The sequence below is a fragment of the Homo sapiens genome, chromosome 2 (genome assembly GCF_000001405.40).
Source record: "Homo sapiens chromosome 2, GRCh38.p14 Primary Assembly".
NCBI lineage: Eukaryota > Metazoa > Chordata > Mammalia > Primates > Hominidae > Homo > Homo sapiens.
Genome location: NC_000002.12, coordinates 108,854,205 through 108,871,667, shown reverse-complemented (window position 1 = coordinate 108,871,667; position 17,463 = coordinate 108,854,205). Strand labels below are relative to the sequence as shown.

Sequence of the window (17,463 nt, the reverse complement as noted above, 5' to 3'; positions counted from 1 at the left end):
TGGTTAAAATGGTAAATTTTATGTTATGAATATTTTACCAACATAAACAATGTACAAAAAATGGGACAATGTTTTTTATCTTGCTTTTTTAACAGAAGGAACTTTTATTTTTTTTGGAGCTAAAGTCTTGCTTTGTTGCCCAGGCTGGAGTGCAGTGGCATGATCTCGGCTCACTGAAGCCTCCTCCCTCTGGGTTCAAGGGATTCTCCTGCCTTGCCTCCCGAGTAACTGGGATTACAGGCACACACCATCATGCCCAGTTAATTTTTCTATTTTTTTTTTTTTTTTTTTTTTTTTAATAGAGTTGGGGTTTCATCATGTTGGCCAGGCTGGGCTTGAACTCCTGACCTCAAGAGATCTGCCCACCTCAGCCTCCCAAAGTGCTGGGATTACAGGCATGAGACACCACACCTGGCTAGGAACTTATAATTTTAAAAATTTATGACTCTAATCCATTTTATTTTTCCTGTTGAATACTATTTCATTAAATAACATGTATAATGCATGCCATTTCTGTAAAAGTATTTCCTTCTATCTATCCATTCATCCATCTTTTCATGTGAACACAACCATAGGAACGTGTCTAAAATAATGTTCACCTAACATTAATGACGGCTATTTCTAAATAATGAGGTTCATTTCAATTTTTTGAGTTCTAGAAGTTTATTTATATTCATTCTTTAAATTGGTGTTAAATATGCATAACACTTATCATTTTAACCATTTTTAAGTTTTCAGTTCTGTGGTATTAAGTAAATTCACATTACTGTGCAACCATCCATCTCCAGAGTTTTTTCCATCTTCTTCTGAAACTGCACACATTAAACAATAACTTTAATTTTCCCATTTCCCTCTTCCCCAACACCTGACAATCACCAATCTACTTATTTCTCTACTCCAGGCACCTCATATAAGAGGAATCATAGAAGATATATCCTTTTGTGCCTGGCTTATTTCATTTAGCATAATGTCTTCCAGGTTCATCCATTCTGTAGCATGTATCAGAACTTCATTTCTTAGACTGAATAATAGTCTACCGTATGTACATACCACATTTACTTTTGTTGCTTTGCAGATACTCTTTGTCTTTTACTTTTGACAGTTTCATGATAATGTGTCTTGATGTCGGACTCTGGGTTTATCAAATGTGGATTCCTTGAGTTTCTTTGATTTGTAGAGCCGTGTCTTTCCTCAAATTTGATAAGTTTTCAGCTATTATTTCTCTAAATTATCTTTCCACCCTTTCTCTTTTTTCTCCTTCTGGACTCCAGTAATGCATCAACTGGTCTGCCTGATGGTACTGCGTAAGTCCTTCAGACTCTGTTCACTTTTCTTTTTTCTTTGATTTTGTTCCTCGGACTTGATCATTTCAAATAACTTGCCTTCAAGTTCACTGATTCTTTCTTTTGCCTGTTCAAGTCTGCTGTTGAACTCTTCTAGTAAATTTTTCAATTCAGCTACTGTATTTTCCAGTTCCAGAATTTGGTTCTTTTAAATAATTTGTTTCTTTGTTGACAGAAATTTTGTTCATGTATCATTTCCCTGATTTCATTATTTCTCATTAACTCATTGAGCATATTTAAGATAGCTGAGAAATTTTGCTCATGTATCACTTCCCTGATTTCATTATTTCTCATTAGCTCATTGAGCATATTTAAGATAGTTGTTTTAAAGTCTTTTCTGAGCAAATCCAATTAATTTGTGTGTCTTTACAGGATAGTTTCTGAAGATTTATTTTGTTCCTTTGGATGAGCCAGGTTTCATCCTTTCTTTGCGTGTTCTACGATTTTTTTTGCTGAAAATCTGACATTTGAAAAAACCACCCCTCCCAGTCTTTGAAGACTGACATGAAAGGCCTTCACTACTTATCAAGCACCTGAGCCTTGGGAACGGTGTAGGGAGTGTGCTTAAGGTCATCTCAGGTCTTGTCTGGGCATGCATCCTGTCTGGGCCTGTGTATGCTGTTTTTTTCTTTTTTTCTTGTTTCCTCTGGCTGCCTGTAAATGTCTTAATTTCCCAGAATCTCACCCAAGCTTCTTCTGAAGGCCTTAGATCTTGTATGGTATTCCTCTGTGCATAACCTCTTCCTCCTACACATCCACAGGTCTGTAGTCTCCCTGCAGTTTTCATGTGCTATGGTGCCCACCACTGCCTTCCTTGGCCTTCTTCCTGAGATTCAAACCATGCCGCATTCCCTGTATGTGCCCTGAACGAGGCAAGTCTGAAACCAGTCTCTTGGGCAACCCATTGATAGGCAAGAATGCCTCAAACTAGTCCTGCTTGAATCCTTCTCTCCTGAGGAAGGGAATGGAGAACTGGGCCATTTACTTCTCTTTGTGCTGCACTGTGCCAGAGATAGAGTAGGGTAAGGGTGAGTAAAATTATCACAGAATGTCCTATCATTTTGCATGTGGCTTTTTCTTGATTGGGCATTTGCTGGGTTGCTACAGATCTTTGACTGGTTTCCATAGTTCCTACAAAGTTATTTTAGTCTGTCTGTAGCTATTTATTTGGTGTTTCTGTGGGGAAACAAGCACCTGCAACATCCTAGTCAGCCATTTTGCTGATGTTTGAATTTTGCTCTGCTTGAGCATGTACAATATTATGAAAAAAAAATTTTCTTCAAGGAAACAAAACAAAATTTTTATAAAGTAAAATAAAACCCACTCCAAGTATGAAGTATAGTCTGTGTTAATTCAGCTGGGAACGTAGAGAAAATCCAACTTATAGCTTAATCAAATAGAAAAAAATTTCATTTTTTTCTTTCACAAAAGGTAGGCACTTCATGGAACCAATTCAGGTGCAAGACAACGTCATCAGAAACCCAGATTCTTTGTTTCTGCCCAAAAACCCTTAGCTTTTTTTTCTTCAAGTTTTCTCATGAAAATGTTCTTAGTATTTATTTTTATGTGTCATGGTCAAAGGCTCTACATAACAAAGCAAAAAAGGAGGACAGTATGGGAATGAGTGCCAATTATATCTGTTCTTCTTCAGAAGAAAAGCAAAAGGTTTCCCAGAAACTCTCAGCAGATTTCTAGTTTCCATCTTACTGGCCTCATGTGTGTCAAGCATGTAGCTACCCTGCCAGCAATGAAAGGCTGGAGGAGAAAGTTTTTAGGTGTTACAGTCTCCAGAAGAGAGACAGGTGAGGTAGAAAGAGGTGAGAATGATGATGGGGGAGCCAACCCACAGTCTCTGCTGCAAGGGTCTAAGTTATTTCTTGAAACAAATTTTTCAGTGCTTTTGTTGAGTCACAATATTTTACATAAATTTATAGTTAATAAGCTTGGTGGAAAGTATTTAAATCTTCAATTTGAGAAAGATTACCTGAAGACATAACCAATCTCAGCTACAAGTTACTTTCAGTAATAAGGAAAAAGGGGCACCATGGACTCCCTGCACCAATACTATACTAATATGATATCTGACAAAAATCTATCGCGAGTAACTTAAGAAAATAAACGTAACTTTTATTAATTTAAAAGTCAATACTGAAATCTCTCAAGGTAATTATTTATCTGCCAACATTTCCTATAGCGGTTATACATTTTTAAAAGTACATGCTGTCAACAAGTTAGCACACTCTTTGGTAATGATTATGTCCACATGTTAGTCATCAGCCTGTCGATAACTGACTAGAACATTTTTCCAGTTTAAATGCTCAGAATCCAAGTTCCTCAGATAAGAGCTATTTTAATCTTTTCAGAATTCTAAGGCAAGGGTAATCAGAATAAAATTATTTTTTAAAGAAAACTCACCTCAGCTCCCAGATAGTAACATGCTATTTATTACACGGGACAAAAATGTATGATGTCTAGTTAGTAAGGCTTTTATTCCAGTTCTGATGACTCAAAGGCTGGAACATAACACAGCAACATTCAATACCAACCAAAAACCTTCAGTTGCCCATCCCTCAAACTGGATAAGGCTAAAGAAATATTTAAAAACAAACAAAAAAAAGCAATAGTATGAATAGACTTAGGTAGTCTTTGAAAAACACCCAAATGAATTTTCCTCTTCAGTATTTTTTTTCAAGTCCACCCTCATTCCTTTTTGGAAGGAGGAATGGTGTGAAATGCACTCAAGATGAGCTATTTCTTGAAAGATGAGTAGGAACTTGCCAAAGGCTTGGGGAGGGGAGTGCTAGTCCAAGGACAAAGACACTCTTGGAGCAGGGTAATCCATATTCGTAACTAACAACTCCCCAGGTAAACTTCCTAGTCTGCCATTTTTCCAGTTTTGAACCATGTTGTTCCTTCTACTTCTCATTCCTGAGAGAATTTCAAGACTTTTATTTTTTTCCTTCTAGCTTGCTTTTTCAATTCCTAAAGACACATTAGTGCTGCCAGTAATTCCCACTCTGGAATCTCTCAGTTCTGGAGTTCTAGCTTCCAGCGGGGAGCTTCTCTCTTGTGTCCACCTCTTCTTCTTCTAAAAGACTTAGTTATTCCTCTTATCACTGCCCTGGCCCTAGCCCTGTGACATTAAATAAGTCACTTAATTTCTCAGAGCCCCAGGTTTCCTATTTATATAAATTATACATATATATAAAAACATAGCTAAGCTAGTGGAACAGTTCTCAACCCAGTGACTCAGTAGAATCTTTTCATAATAAATATTTTATAATTCCCCTTTAATTAACCTAAAAATAACCATAAACAATATAACAATATAATCTGTTTACATGTATCTTTTTAATCAATATAATGCACTATTTATAATACAGGGGAGGAAAAGGGAATTTATAATAAGGTAATATTTTACTCATTTCTTTCCTTTTTTTTTTTCAGACAGTCTTACTCTGTCGCCCAGGCTGGAGTGCCGTGGCGTGATCTCGGCTCACTGCAAACTCCACCTCCCGGGTTCAAGCAATTCTCCTGCCTCAGTCTCCCGAGTAACTGGGATTATAGGCACCCGTCACCGCGTCCAGCTAATGTTTGTATTTTTAGTAGAGACGGGGTTTCACTATCTTGGCTAGGCTGGTCTCAAACTCCTGACCTCGTGATCCACCTGCCTCAGCCTCCCAAAGTGCTGGGATTACAGGCATGAGCCACCATGCCTGGCCTATTTTAATCATTTCAATGTGTCAATACTTGAGGATAACTGCACTGTAAAACATAAGGAAGTGGTCAAATGCTTGTACCTGTACATGGAATATCCTAAATGCAGCAGATACACATGTAAACTGGTACCAAGATAATTCTCAAATTGATGAGGAGAGAAAAATGAAAGACTAGTGTGGTAGGCTGAATGATGGTTCCCCCAAAAGATGTCCACATCCCCTTCATGGGAACCTGTGAATGTTAGCTTATAAGACAAATGCTTTGCAGATGTGATTAAATTAGAGATACTGAGATGGAGGTGATGATCCTGGATCACTTCACAGGGTCTAACTACAATCACAAGTATCCTTATAAAAGGGAGGCAGAAGGGATGACATCATCAAGATGGCAGAAGAGGACTCCTGGACCTTCCTTCTTCCAACAAGCAAACTGATTCCACAACAATCCCCATGGCCAAATTCCCTTTCTGTGAAATCCAGAAACTTTAAGAGGCTCCTGCATCCCAGTAGGTGTGAAACCAGTCACATCAAAGCCAGTAAGTCAATTCAGATACCCTACTACCATAGTCCTCTTGCACAGCTCCATAAGACAGGAACAAAATCCCCCAGCTCCTAGCTTCTCCCCAGGAAGAGAAAGAGGTACCCTATGTGTCTAATGTCCAAAGTTTTCTAGGAACTACCCAGAAAACTGGTTTATGTCTACCCTGTCTTGGAGCACTGACAGAACCCAACAAACTCTGGCCACTCATGGCAATTTGGGGTGTTGATCACTATAGCCACCCCGCCCTCTACCTCTGGCTCATCACGGAGTAAGCAGGCAAAAACCCCAGCTCTTTAGCTTCTACCTGGGAATGGATAGGGGAGTACCGTGTGTCCAACCACTCACCTTAAATGGGGACTGCCTGAGGAAATGGCTTCAGTCTCCATGGTCTCAGAAGCTGAAGGGACCTGAAATATTCTAGATGCCTAGGGACTATTAAGAACAAAGAAAGTGGATAGGACTGGCATGAAGGTTTGAAAGATCCCAGAATTTCTGTCAGGGCTGATTGGTGAGGGTCTTCTCCAGAATGAGTCCAGACCATGAAGACTTAGAGAGGTAATTATTTTGTCTATGGCACAAAAACATCAACAGAGAATGTCAAGGAAAAAGAAGAAACAAGGAAATATTTTCCCCAAAAGACAAAGAGATGAATCTCTAGAAACTGATCCTAATGAAATGGAGATATATCAATTAACTGACAGAATTTGAAATCACTACTACCAAATAAGCTCCCACATGTACACACTTAAGTTTTGTATACGGTTATTCACAGAAGCACTGTTTATATTAGCCAAAGACTAGAAACAGCCAAAATATCCATCAATCGTGGTCTGCTTAAATGAATGAATTTTAATTGAAGAAATTATGCATTTATATAAGATCTTCAAGATATAATGCTGATCATAATATATATCTATATAAAATATATATAAAACTTAGTAGCATTCCTGTGATAAAAAGGAAAAAGTAAAAATGTGTATGTATTTGTGTGTGTGTCTGCAGTTGTTCCCTCCAGGGAGGGAAACAGTAACTGAAGGCAGACTTTTCACTTTTGTACTTTTGAAATTATGAGATATGTGAATGTGTTACTATTTATTTATTTTCTTAAAACAGGGCCTCACTCTTGCCCAGGCTGGTGTGCAGTGGCATGTTAATAGCTCAGTACAACGTTGAACTCCAGGGCTCAAGTGATTCTCCCACCAAAGCCTCCCAAGTAGCTGGGACTACAAGTGCACACCATTATGCCAAGCTAATTTTTTTTTTTTTTTTTTGAGATGGAGTCTCGCTCTGTCGCCCAGGCTGGAGTGCAGAGGCACACTCTCAACTCACTGCAACCTCCGCCTCCTGGGTGCAAGTGATTCTCCTGCCTCAGCCTCCCGAGTAGCTGGGACTACAGGCGTGGGCCACCACGCCTGGCTTTTTTGTTTTTTTAGTAGAGACAGGGTTTCACCATGTTAGCCAGGCTGCTCTCGATCTCCTAACCTCGTGATCTGCCCGCCTTGGCCTCCCAAAGTGCTGGGATTACAGGTGTGAGCCACCGTGCCCGGCTAATTTTTTAATTTTTTTGTAGAGATGGGCCTTACTATGTTGCCCAGGCTGGTCTCAAACTCCTGGGATCAAGCAGTCCTCCCTCCTAAGCCTCCCAAAGTGCTGAAATTACAGGCATAGGCCACCACAACTGGCCTTGAATGTGTTACCTTTTAAACAATAAATACAATTTTGTTAAAAATAATTCCTTAAGTTAAATAGCTAGAGAACTTTAATCTTTTTTTAATAAATAAATAAAAATAGCGTGTTCATCATCTGGATATTTAATTATTTGCTTTCTTAGCTTCTTCTACCACACTAATTGGTGGGTTAGATTTTATCCCCCATCATATGCAATGTTTTGTTTTTTTTTCACAAAATATGAGAATGGGTTTCCTCAAAATATGCTATATAACACAAACTTAAAAGTTGACCAAGAAGGGCTCACTAGTGTTACACACTAGTGTAACACATCATCTATTATTGTCTAGTGTTACACATGAGAAAGACCAGCCTTTCATCTTAGAAACAGAGATTCTGTTAACAGTGTCAAACAAGGGGATGCAAACCAATCATTAAAGTGATTATGTAACTTTTAATAGAGCTGTAAATCTGGCAGCATTCAGAGACCAGTAGCAAATATATGGCTAAAAGCGCTCATTAATTGACTATTAAGTAGACTTCAGAAGTTACAGAAGGAACTGTTAGTTCATTAGGTCCCTGTGCCACATATCCCTGAAGTGGCTGACCAAGAACAACTTCAAAGCTCTTTTGTGCTGGGAAAGAATGCCAATGAATCACTTTTCTTATCCAATTTCATAAAACTCAATTGCCTTAATAAATAATGATGATAAACATAACAAAATATTAAGCAATAATTAAAAACAAAGGTTATGTAGAAATATATTTAAAAGCTCCTAACATTAAAGTCAACAAACCAGAATAGAAAGAAAAAGATCTAGGAGTTTTACTACATAAAAAACCCCAAGTCTTGATGATGCCCAACAAAGCTCTTCCCAATGAGCACCCCAGCTTGTTTCCTGGTTCTTCTACTTCTCTGCCCTCACTAACTCTGCTTCAGCTACACTGGCTTCTCTGATGTTTTTTGAAAACACCACACATCTAAAGTACAGCACACCCTTTGCTATAGTTGTATATTCTTCAGTTATTAAAAATAAACCTTCCCATTGTATTTCCTAAAGGGAATTTTTCCATGTGAAAGCTTGTAACTGAGAAAACAGATGATATGTATGTAGGATTAGGTTGGTGCTTTGTTAGAAATATTGCATCTATAATTTCATTGAAATTATCCTTCCTTTAATCTCCTAAATAATAAAAAACATAATAGAACGATTGAATAAATTTAAAACAGCAAAAAGGGAAGAAATTATGTTGTTCAAATCAAGAAAAACTTGTCAATGAAAAATAGTACCTGCATCAGATAGAAAGATATCAAATTAACAACCTAATATTGCAACTAAACAATATGGATATATTCAGAAGTAAGTTCTAGATGTGTAGAACAAGTTTAATGCCTGGAGTATAGTCCAAAGTTTTTGATGATTCTTTGTTATCTTTATTATTTTTTTACCCAAATTGAAACACAGAATTTAAACAGAACAACTCAAGTATGTCCTTGTAATATTTCCTAGGATTTTCTTGCATTTTAAACAGATAAACATAGCCTACCTGCAAATATGCAACTGTATATGCACTAGTATCTAACCACGTAAAAAAAAACAAAAGGTGGCCAACATCAAGAAAACCGTTTGTGGAAAAAAGATACAAAATAGTTATGTATCTTTTGATAGCAAAGATATATTTTTCTGGGATATTTGTTGGTTTTTTAATTAAATGAAAATTATATATCTTTACCATGTACAATATATTTCAATATCATGTAGTATGTAAACATTGTGGAATGGCTAAATCAAACCAAATAACATATCCATTACCTCACATATTTGCTTTGTTGTGGTGATAACATTTAAAATGTACTCTGTTAGCAATTTTCAAGTATGTAATATACTTGTTATTAACTGTAATCACCACATTATACAGGTTGAGCATCCCTAATCTGAAAATCCAAAATCCTCCATCATATGCAATGGGAACCAGTCACAGGCACTTGGAGTTAGGTCCACTGACACTACCTCCCAGCCTGTGAAGATCCCTGAGGAAGCTCTGCATTCCCTAGAGCACTGTAAACACAATGCTTTGAAACATGGAACCTCACAAAGCTGGTCACCAATGCCCATATAGTAAGGTAAGATAACCCATTTGTAAATAAATTCCATTGAGATTTCTTCTGCAGCAACTTTTTCCTGTTTTGTTTTTTTTTTAAGTGGCATGGGTCATTCCCACAACCACAGAATATATATTCTTCTCATCTGCATGTGAAACATACTCTATGACTGACCACATGCTCAGGAAAGTCTCAACAAATAAAAAAAAAAAAAACTGAAATCATACCAAGAATCCTCTTGGGCCATAGTGGAATAAAAATAGAAACCAATACAAAGAAGAACTCTCAAAAACATATAAACACATGAAAACTAAAGAATTTACTCCCGAATGACTTTTGGGTAAACAACAAAATTAAGGCAGAAATAAAAAAAAATTCTTTGAAACAGTGAAAATCAAGATATAACATACCAAAACCTGTAGGATACAGTAAAAACAGTGCTAAGAAGAAAGTTTAGGCTGGGCGCGGTGGCTCACGCCTGTAATCCCAGCACTTTGGGAGGCCGAGGTTTAGGCCGGGCGCGGTGGCTCACGCCTGTAATCCCAGCACTTTGGGAGGAAGAGGTGGGCGGATCACTGGAGGTCAGGAGTTCGAGACCAGTCTGGCCAATATGGTGAAACCCTGTCTCTACTAAAAATGCAAAAATTAGCTAGGTGTGGCGGTGTGCACCTGTAGTCCCAGCTACTCAGGAGGCTGAGGCAGAAGAATCGCTTGAACCCAGGAGGCGGAGGTTGCAGTGAGCCAAGATCATGCCACTGCACTCCAGCCTGGGTGACAGAGCGAGACTCCATCTCAAAAAAAAAAAAAAAAAAAAAAAAAAGGAAGAAAGTTTATAGTGCTAAATGTCTACATAAAAAAAGAAAAATATCAAATTAACAACCTAATGTCACACCTACAGGAACTAGAAAAACAAGAACAAATTAATCCAAAGTTAGCTGAAGAAATAATAAAAACAGCAGAACTAAATGAAGTTGAGACTAAAAGAACTATATAAGGATCGACGAAATGAAAAAGTGTTTTTTTGAAAGGATAAACAAGATCAATAAACCACTAGCTAGATCAACAAAGAAAAAAAGAGAGATGATCCCAATAAACACAATCAGAAATGATAAAGGTGACATTACAGCTAATCCCACAGAAATAAATTTAAAAAAAAATCCTCAGAGACTACTATGAACATCTCTATGCACACAAACTAGAAAATCTAGAGGAAATGGATAATTACCCAGAAATATACAATCTCCCAAGATTGAATCAGGAAGAAATTGAAACCCTGAACAGACCAGTATTGAGCTCCAAAACTGAATCAAAATTGAATCCTTACCTTACCAACCAAAAAAAAAAAAAAAAAAAAAAAGTCCTGGACCAGATGGATTCACAGCCAAATTCTACCAGATGAACAAAGAAGAGCTGATACCAATTCTATTGAAACTATTCCAAAATATCGAGGAGGAGGGACTCCTCCCTAACTCATTCCAAAACCCAGTATCATACTGATGCCAAAATCTGGCAAAGACACAACAAAAGTAGAAAACTATAGGCCAATATCCCTGATCAACACAGAAGCAAAAATCCTCAACAAAATACTGGCAAACGGAACCTAGTAGCACATCAAAAAGGTAATCCACCACGATCAAGTGGACTTTATTCCTCAGATGCAAGGATGATTCAATATACGCAAATCAGTAAATGTAAAAAGAGAATTAAAAACAAAAACCCCTAGATGCAGAAAAAACATGAGATAAAATCCAACATCTCTTTAGGATAAAAAAAAAAAAACCTCAACAACCTAGGCATTGAAATAATAAGAGTCATTTATGACAAAACTACAGTCAATATCATATTTAATGGGGAAAAGTTGAAAGGGTTTCCCCCAAAATCTGGAACACAACAGGTATGTCCACTTTCACCACTCCTTCAACAAAGTACTAAAGTCCTAGCAAGAGCAATTGGCCAAGAGAAAGAAATAAAAGGCATCCAAAGAGGAAGACAAATATCTCTGTTCACTGACAATAGGATTCTATACCTAGAAAACCCTAAAGATCTTGCCAAAAGACTCCCAGACCTGAAACATGACTTCAGTGAAGTCTGAAGATACAAATTCAACGTACAAAAATCAGTAGCTTACATCAAAACAACATATTTAAGAAAAAAAAAAATCAGAAGCATTTCTATACACCAATAACATTCAAGCTGAAAACCAAATCAAGGGCACAATCCTATTTACAACAGCCACACACACACAAGATACTTAGGAATACATCTAACCAGGAAGGTGAAATATCTCTACAAGGAGAACTATAAAACACTACTAAAGGAAATCACAGATGACATAAACAGATGGAAAAACATTCCATGCTCAAGGATTGGAAGAATTAAGATCATTTAAATGGTTATATTGCCTAAAGCAATCTATGGATTCAACACAATTCCTATCAAATTACCAACATTATTCTTCACAGAATTAGAAAAAAAAAAAATTGAAAATTCATATGGAACCAAGAATGAGCCCAAACAGCCAAAACAAACTTAAGTAAAAAGAACAAAGCTGGAAGCATCATGTTATCTGACTTCAAACTATACTACAAGGCTATAGTAACCAAACACCATGGTACTGGTATATAAAAAGACACACAGACCAATGGAACAGAATAGAGAAACTGAAATAAAACCACATACCTACAACCAACTGATTTTCAACAAAGAAAATCACAATATACAAAAATTAACTCAAGATGGAACAAAGACTTAAATGAAAGATGTCAAATTATAAAAATCCTAGAAGAAAATCTAGGAAATACTCTTCTGGACATTGGCCTAGGCAAAAAATTTATGACAAACTCATCAAAAGCAAATGCAATAAAAATAAAAATTGACAACTGGGACCTACTTAAACTAAAGAGCTTCAGCATAGCAAAAGAAACTATCAACAGAGTAAACAGACAACCTATAGAATGGGAGAAAATATCTGCAAATTCTGCATCCAACAAAGGACTAATATCCAGAATCTACAAGGAGCTCAAACAAATCAATGAGAAAAAGCAACCCCGTTAAAAAGTAGGCAAAGGACATGAACAGATACTTCTCAAAAGAAGACATACAAGTAGCCAACAAATATATTTAAAAATGCTCAACATCACTAATCATCTTTGAAATGCAAACCAAAACCACAATGAGATGCCATCTCACACTAGTCAGAACGGCTATTACTAAAGTCAAATAGAACTGCCATTCGATTCAGCAATCCTATTACTGGGTATATACCCAAAGGAAATGAAATTGTTCTACCAAAAAGATACCTGCACTCTCATGCTTATTGCAGCAGCTGTATTCAAAATAGCAAAGATGTGGAATCAACCTAGGTGCCCATCAGTGGTGGATCAGATAAAGAAAATGTGATACATATACACCATGGAATACTATACAACCATAAAAAATAATGAAATAATGTTCTTTGCAGCAACATGGATGCAGCTGGATGCCATTATCCTAAATGACGAGTTCAGTTGAAGCCCAAACCTCAGCATCACACAATAAATCCATGTAACACACCTGCACATGTACCCCCTAAATCTAAAATTAAAAAAAAAAAGAAAAAAATAGCATGAGAAAATTAAATATATGGTAAAATGGGTTTCCAATCTCAAACCTAGAAAAATGAAAAACCAACAGCTAAAGAAGTATTTGCTACACTTTGATCAATCTTTCCTCGCTCTAATAAATCGTACTGGCTGACCAACAAGTACTGAATTTACATTAAAATTCAAGCAAGTAAATGCTCTTCAGTCAGACATCATCAAAGATTCACCCATTTCCAAACTTCCAAAATTTTCGCATCACTAAACACAATACGGCTTTAGTAGTGATCACCATTAGATACTGCTTATTTACTTGATTTGAACAACAAGGGCACAGCGTTGGTGTTTTTTTTGTTTGTTTGTTTGTTTTTGAGACGGAGACTTACTCTGGCACCCAGGCTGGAGTACAGTGGCACAATCTTGGCTCACTGCAACCTCCACCTCCTGGGTTCAAGTGATTCTCCTGCCTCAGCGTCCTGAGTAGCTGGCATTACAGGCGCACACCACCATGCCCGGCTAATTTTTATATTTTTAGTACAGACGGGGTTTCACCGTGTTGGCCAGGCTGGCCTTGAACTCCTGATCTCCAGTGATCTGCCCGCCTCGGCCTCCCAAAGTGCTGGGATTACAGGCATGAGCCACTGCACCTGGCTGAATTTGAGAGTAACCTGGACAATGGTAAACAAATGTGACTGACTGTTGACTATCTCCTCTAATAGACTTTATTCAAATTTGCATTTGCAGTACCACAATTTATTTCACCCAAGCAGGTCAACTATTTCATAAAATTATATTTTGTTTTCCTTTGACAACGAGAAAGATGCCATCTCTGTCATATTCAGAAAGATTTCTTTCTAATGAATACACATTTGCATCTGGTATGATTTTTGTTTTTCTCATTAAAAGAAAAATCCCTGTGAAACAAGTTGGGAATCTAGGCACTTAAGTAATACTGGATCCCTCAGTTCACTAACTTTTCACTTTTCATTCTACTCCTTACATTAGTAAACTGAAATACACAACTCCAAGATTACTAATCTAGGTAGCTAGTCATCAACTGTAAGTCCAATATTTTAACAGTTACAAATAGCTAAAAACGTTGATAAAATACATCAGACAATATAGGACATTTTGGGACAGGAGAAGAAAATAAACCTGGAAAACCTAGTTACAGTGCTTTGGTAGAACAAGCCTTAGGTCTAGAGTCAGAGATGTGGCTTTAAGTCTCAGTTCTACTTGTGTTTAGCTGGGGAATCCCTGGAGAAGTTACCTAATTTTTTAGTGATGTTATTAATGACTCAATTAAATAGCATCAAAAATATTTTTAAGCATTTAAAAATGCAATAGTCCGGGCGCAGTGGCTCACGCCTGTAATCCCAGTGCTTTGGGAGGCCGAGGCTGCCAGGTCAGGAGATACAGACCATCCTGGCCAACATGGTGAAACCCCGTCTCTACCAAAAATATAAAAATTAGCTGGGCGTGGTGGCGTGTGCCTGTAATCCCAGCTACTCGGGAGGCTGAGGCAGGAGAATTGCTTGAACCAGGGAGTCAGAGGTTGCAGTGAGCTGAGATCGTGCCACTGCACTCCAGCTTGACGACAAAGCGAGACTCCATCTCAAAAAAAAAAAAAAAAAAAAAAAAAAAAAAAGCAATAGTATCTGATATGTGGAGTTATACATGCAGACAAGATAAAGACAGAAAAATCATCCTGCTTTCTTTACACATATAGAACTTAAAAACTTACTAGATTCCACCGTCATCTGGAGCAAACTATCAATAACATTAGACAGGAGTCCTTTACTGGATATTCTTAGATGACTTAATATTACTGGAACAGCCTGATACTCCAAAAACAAGGTTTTTCCTTCTTCTGTCTTCAAGTCCAAACAAAGAGAATCAAATGCCTGAGCCAGGTAATCAGCTGGAAAATAGTTATGTACAATCAACTGCAGTTTTGCTAGTCTAGGTGTCAATCAGAAACAGAAGGTAAAAAAGCAATGTCGTTACTTTAACAAACTCAAAAGACAAACAAAAATTAAATAAGAGATCACAGTCTAAATTTAGATTCTAACTGATTTGTCAGAACTCAAATGGGTAAGGAGAGAGGAGACATTATGATGTGGTAAATTTCATTTAGAATTTTCATGTTTTAACACCAAAATAACAAGCCACATTTTTTAATACTAAGGAAGAAAAACAATGCCTATTAGTATCACGAATGTTTATTTTTCCATATTTGATAACTACTACATGCTTCCAAAAACTTAGTATTTCTATCTCTATAATAGCTTTCTAAGATTATGTTTTGTTGCTGCTTCCTAAATGTTTACCTACTTCAAAATGTAATTTATACAAACGTGCTAAATGGATTTTAAATAAGGATTTGTTTCCTAGTAAAGCTGAAACAAGATAATTTCAGAAGATTGAATATGCTCTGGTGTGTCAGTTTTCATGATACATCTGCCATTAAGAATGGCAGCAAGATTTTACCCAGGCCAGTGCTGTGACAACTCCTGAATCAGAAACCCTGAAACTTTCTTAAAGAAGTCCCACAGATGACTGAGAAACCTGCAAGGCCAGGATTGGGAAGCACTAATTTAAGCAGAATCATTGCAAATGAAGTAGTAAGATACTTGCATCATTACACTTCAGTACACTACACAACCCAAGTCCCTACTCTTACAGCAGTCTTACCTTGTGCTTTTAATGTACAATAATCAAGTTTTCTAAAACTCTCCTTTCAAAATGCTATTCAGAGGGAAAAAAAACCGTTCATGCTATCCAAGTAATAATTTTTATACTGAGATTTCTGTTTAAAGGAGAAGACTCAAGAGCACCATGAAATACTGAAAGTACAACAGAATCACCGTATTAAAATTTACTCTTTTGTAGCTTCATGTTGCATTTCTTCTTTGCTGTTTCAGCTTACATAATAAGTAATTTAAAACCCTGGTTATTAAGAATGAGAAGTTTAGAATAACTTGTGTGAAGTGAAAATACATATGAAACTATTTTGAGAAAGTAAGATCTGTGCCTCTGGATCAATTATAGTACACTCCATTTTTACCATTGGTAGAATTTAGTTCAAGGAACACCAACATTACTGTACTTAATTTTGTGGTTTAAAAAAACATTGTAAATAAATGTGTATTAAGTTAAACAAAGTTGCTAGATTCTGTGATTCTGTTCAGACTTGCCTTATTTAGAAACATCCTTTTTTTTTTTTTAGCAACACCACAGGTAGAAGAGTATACACAGATGAAGCCTGAACGCAACTCTTTATAGGAACAAAAGTTTTATCACAGTGCCACCTACTGTATTTGACACACATTATTCTTAGTATATAATTTGACAAGATTAAACAGGTTGAATACTATACAGTTTTTAAAAATAGGCTGACTACTATATGGTATTCTTTTAAGTTTGCAAACTTTAAAAAATTGTCCTTGAGGATTAGAAAAACTGTATTTGGTTTCTTTTTCACAAGTGACCTTATCTTTTAGGGATAAATCAAAATTATGTCCTCATTTTGTCTTCATTTTAATTTATTGAATATTTCAGATTTTCTAAATACAAGAGCAATTTAACTTCTAAAAGAGTATTTTTAAAATTTTAGTTATCAATTATATCAAAGTTGGTTTCTTTTTATAAATGCTATATTATTCAGTCTTTTAACAATGTCCTGGCAATCAAATGTAACCTTTTTATTCCCTAACAAAAGTCAAACTTCAAACTACTGATCTTAATCAGTATGAAATATGGTTTTCCATTATTTTGTTTATATGATAAATTTAAAAATGATTAGAAAGTCTTTTGCAGAAACTGCCATCAAAAGGTGAACTCTACTGCCCACCCTTTGAATCTGGGCTAAACTTGTAACTTAACCAATAAAATGTAGCAGAAATGATGCTGTGTGAATTAGAAGCCTGAGGCTCAGCTATATACTCTTCACCTATAAACAGGCCCCTGGAGAGAGGCCAAGAAAGAACAGCAGAACCAAGCCCAGCCGAGCCCAGCCAAATATCCAGATGAGCTGAGCCCAAATTACCAACCCAAAGAATTGTGAGCTGGTAAATAAAATGGTGGTTGAGCTAAGCCACTAAGTCTCTGGAAGTTTATTAAGCAGGAATAAACAACTAATGTAGTCTAACAGACCTCAATTCTGATCTCAGGTAAAACCAACTCTTAAAGTTTTATAATAAGTAATAATGTCTACTGATAACAATAGTAGCTAAAGACTTTATGCCAGACTTGCTAAAACTTTACATCAATTCTCTCATTAAAAAATAATTGTAGTGGAAATAGTAAAACAAACAAACAAAAAAGACCTTCCAAATACCACACAGCTAGTAGTGAAGCTAAGATTCAAACCTTAGTTGTCTGACTATAGAGTTGAAGTAACTACTACATTATACTGGCTTCCTACCAAATCAAACCTTCCTATTAACTGAGAACAGCAACAATTCCCTACATTTCTCTAGACCTAAAGTATAAGCTCACAATTTAAAAA

At 36.6% G+C, this 17,463-nt stretch overlaps 2 protein-coding genes across 47 annotated transcripts in view, besides 1 other annotated feature; both read right to left on the bottom strand.

Annotated features, from left to right (window-relative positions):
• Nucleotides 1–17,463, bottom strand: part of RANBP2 (RAN binding protein 2) — a 1,122,820-nt gene that overhangs the window by 970,634 nt on the left and 134,723 nt on the right. The window lies entirely within an intron of this gene.
• CCDC138 (coiled-coil domain containing 138) overlaps nucleotides 1–17,463 on the bottom strand; it is a 98,736-nt gene that overhangs the window by 13,818 nt on the left and 67,455 nt on the right. For 29 of the 46 annotated variants that reach the window (NR_147236.2, NR_130121.2, NM_001351557.1 and 26 more), the window contains 1 exon segment: nucleotides 14,698–14,874. Coding sequence is in view for 27 of the 33 variants with exons in the window: in NM_001351557.1 (NP_001338486.1) it covers nucleotides 14,698–14,874 (177 nt within the window). In the remaining 6 variants the exon portion in view is untranslated. 46 annotated transcript variants of the gene reach the window in all.
• Nucleotides 1,369–1,569: a silencer, noted in NCBI's record as "peak3812 fragment used in MPRA reporter construct". NCBI's record gives its function as "represses an SCP1 promoter by STARR-seq MPRAs in K562 erythroleukemia cells {active_cell/tissue: K562}" and the evidence as "EXISTENCE:reporter gene assay evidence [ECO:0000049][PMID:32103011]".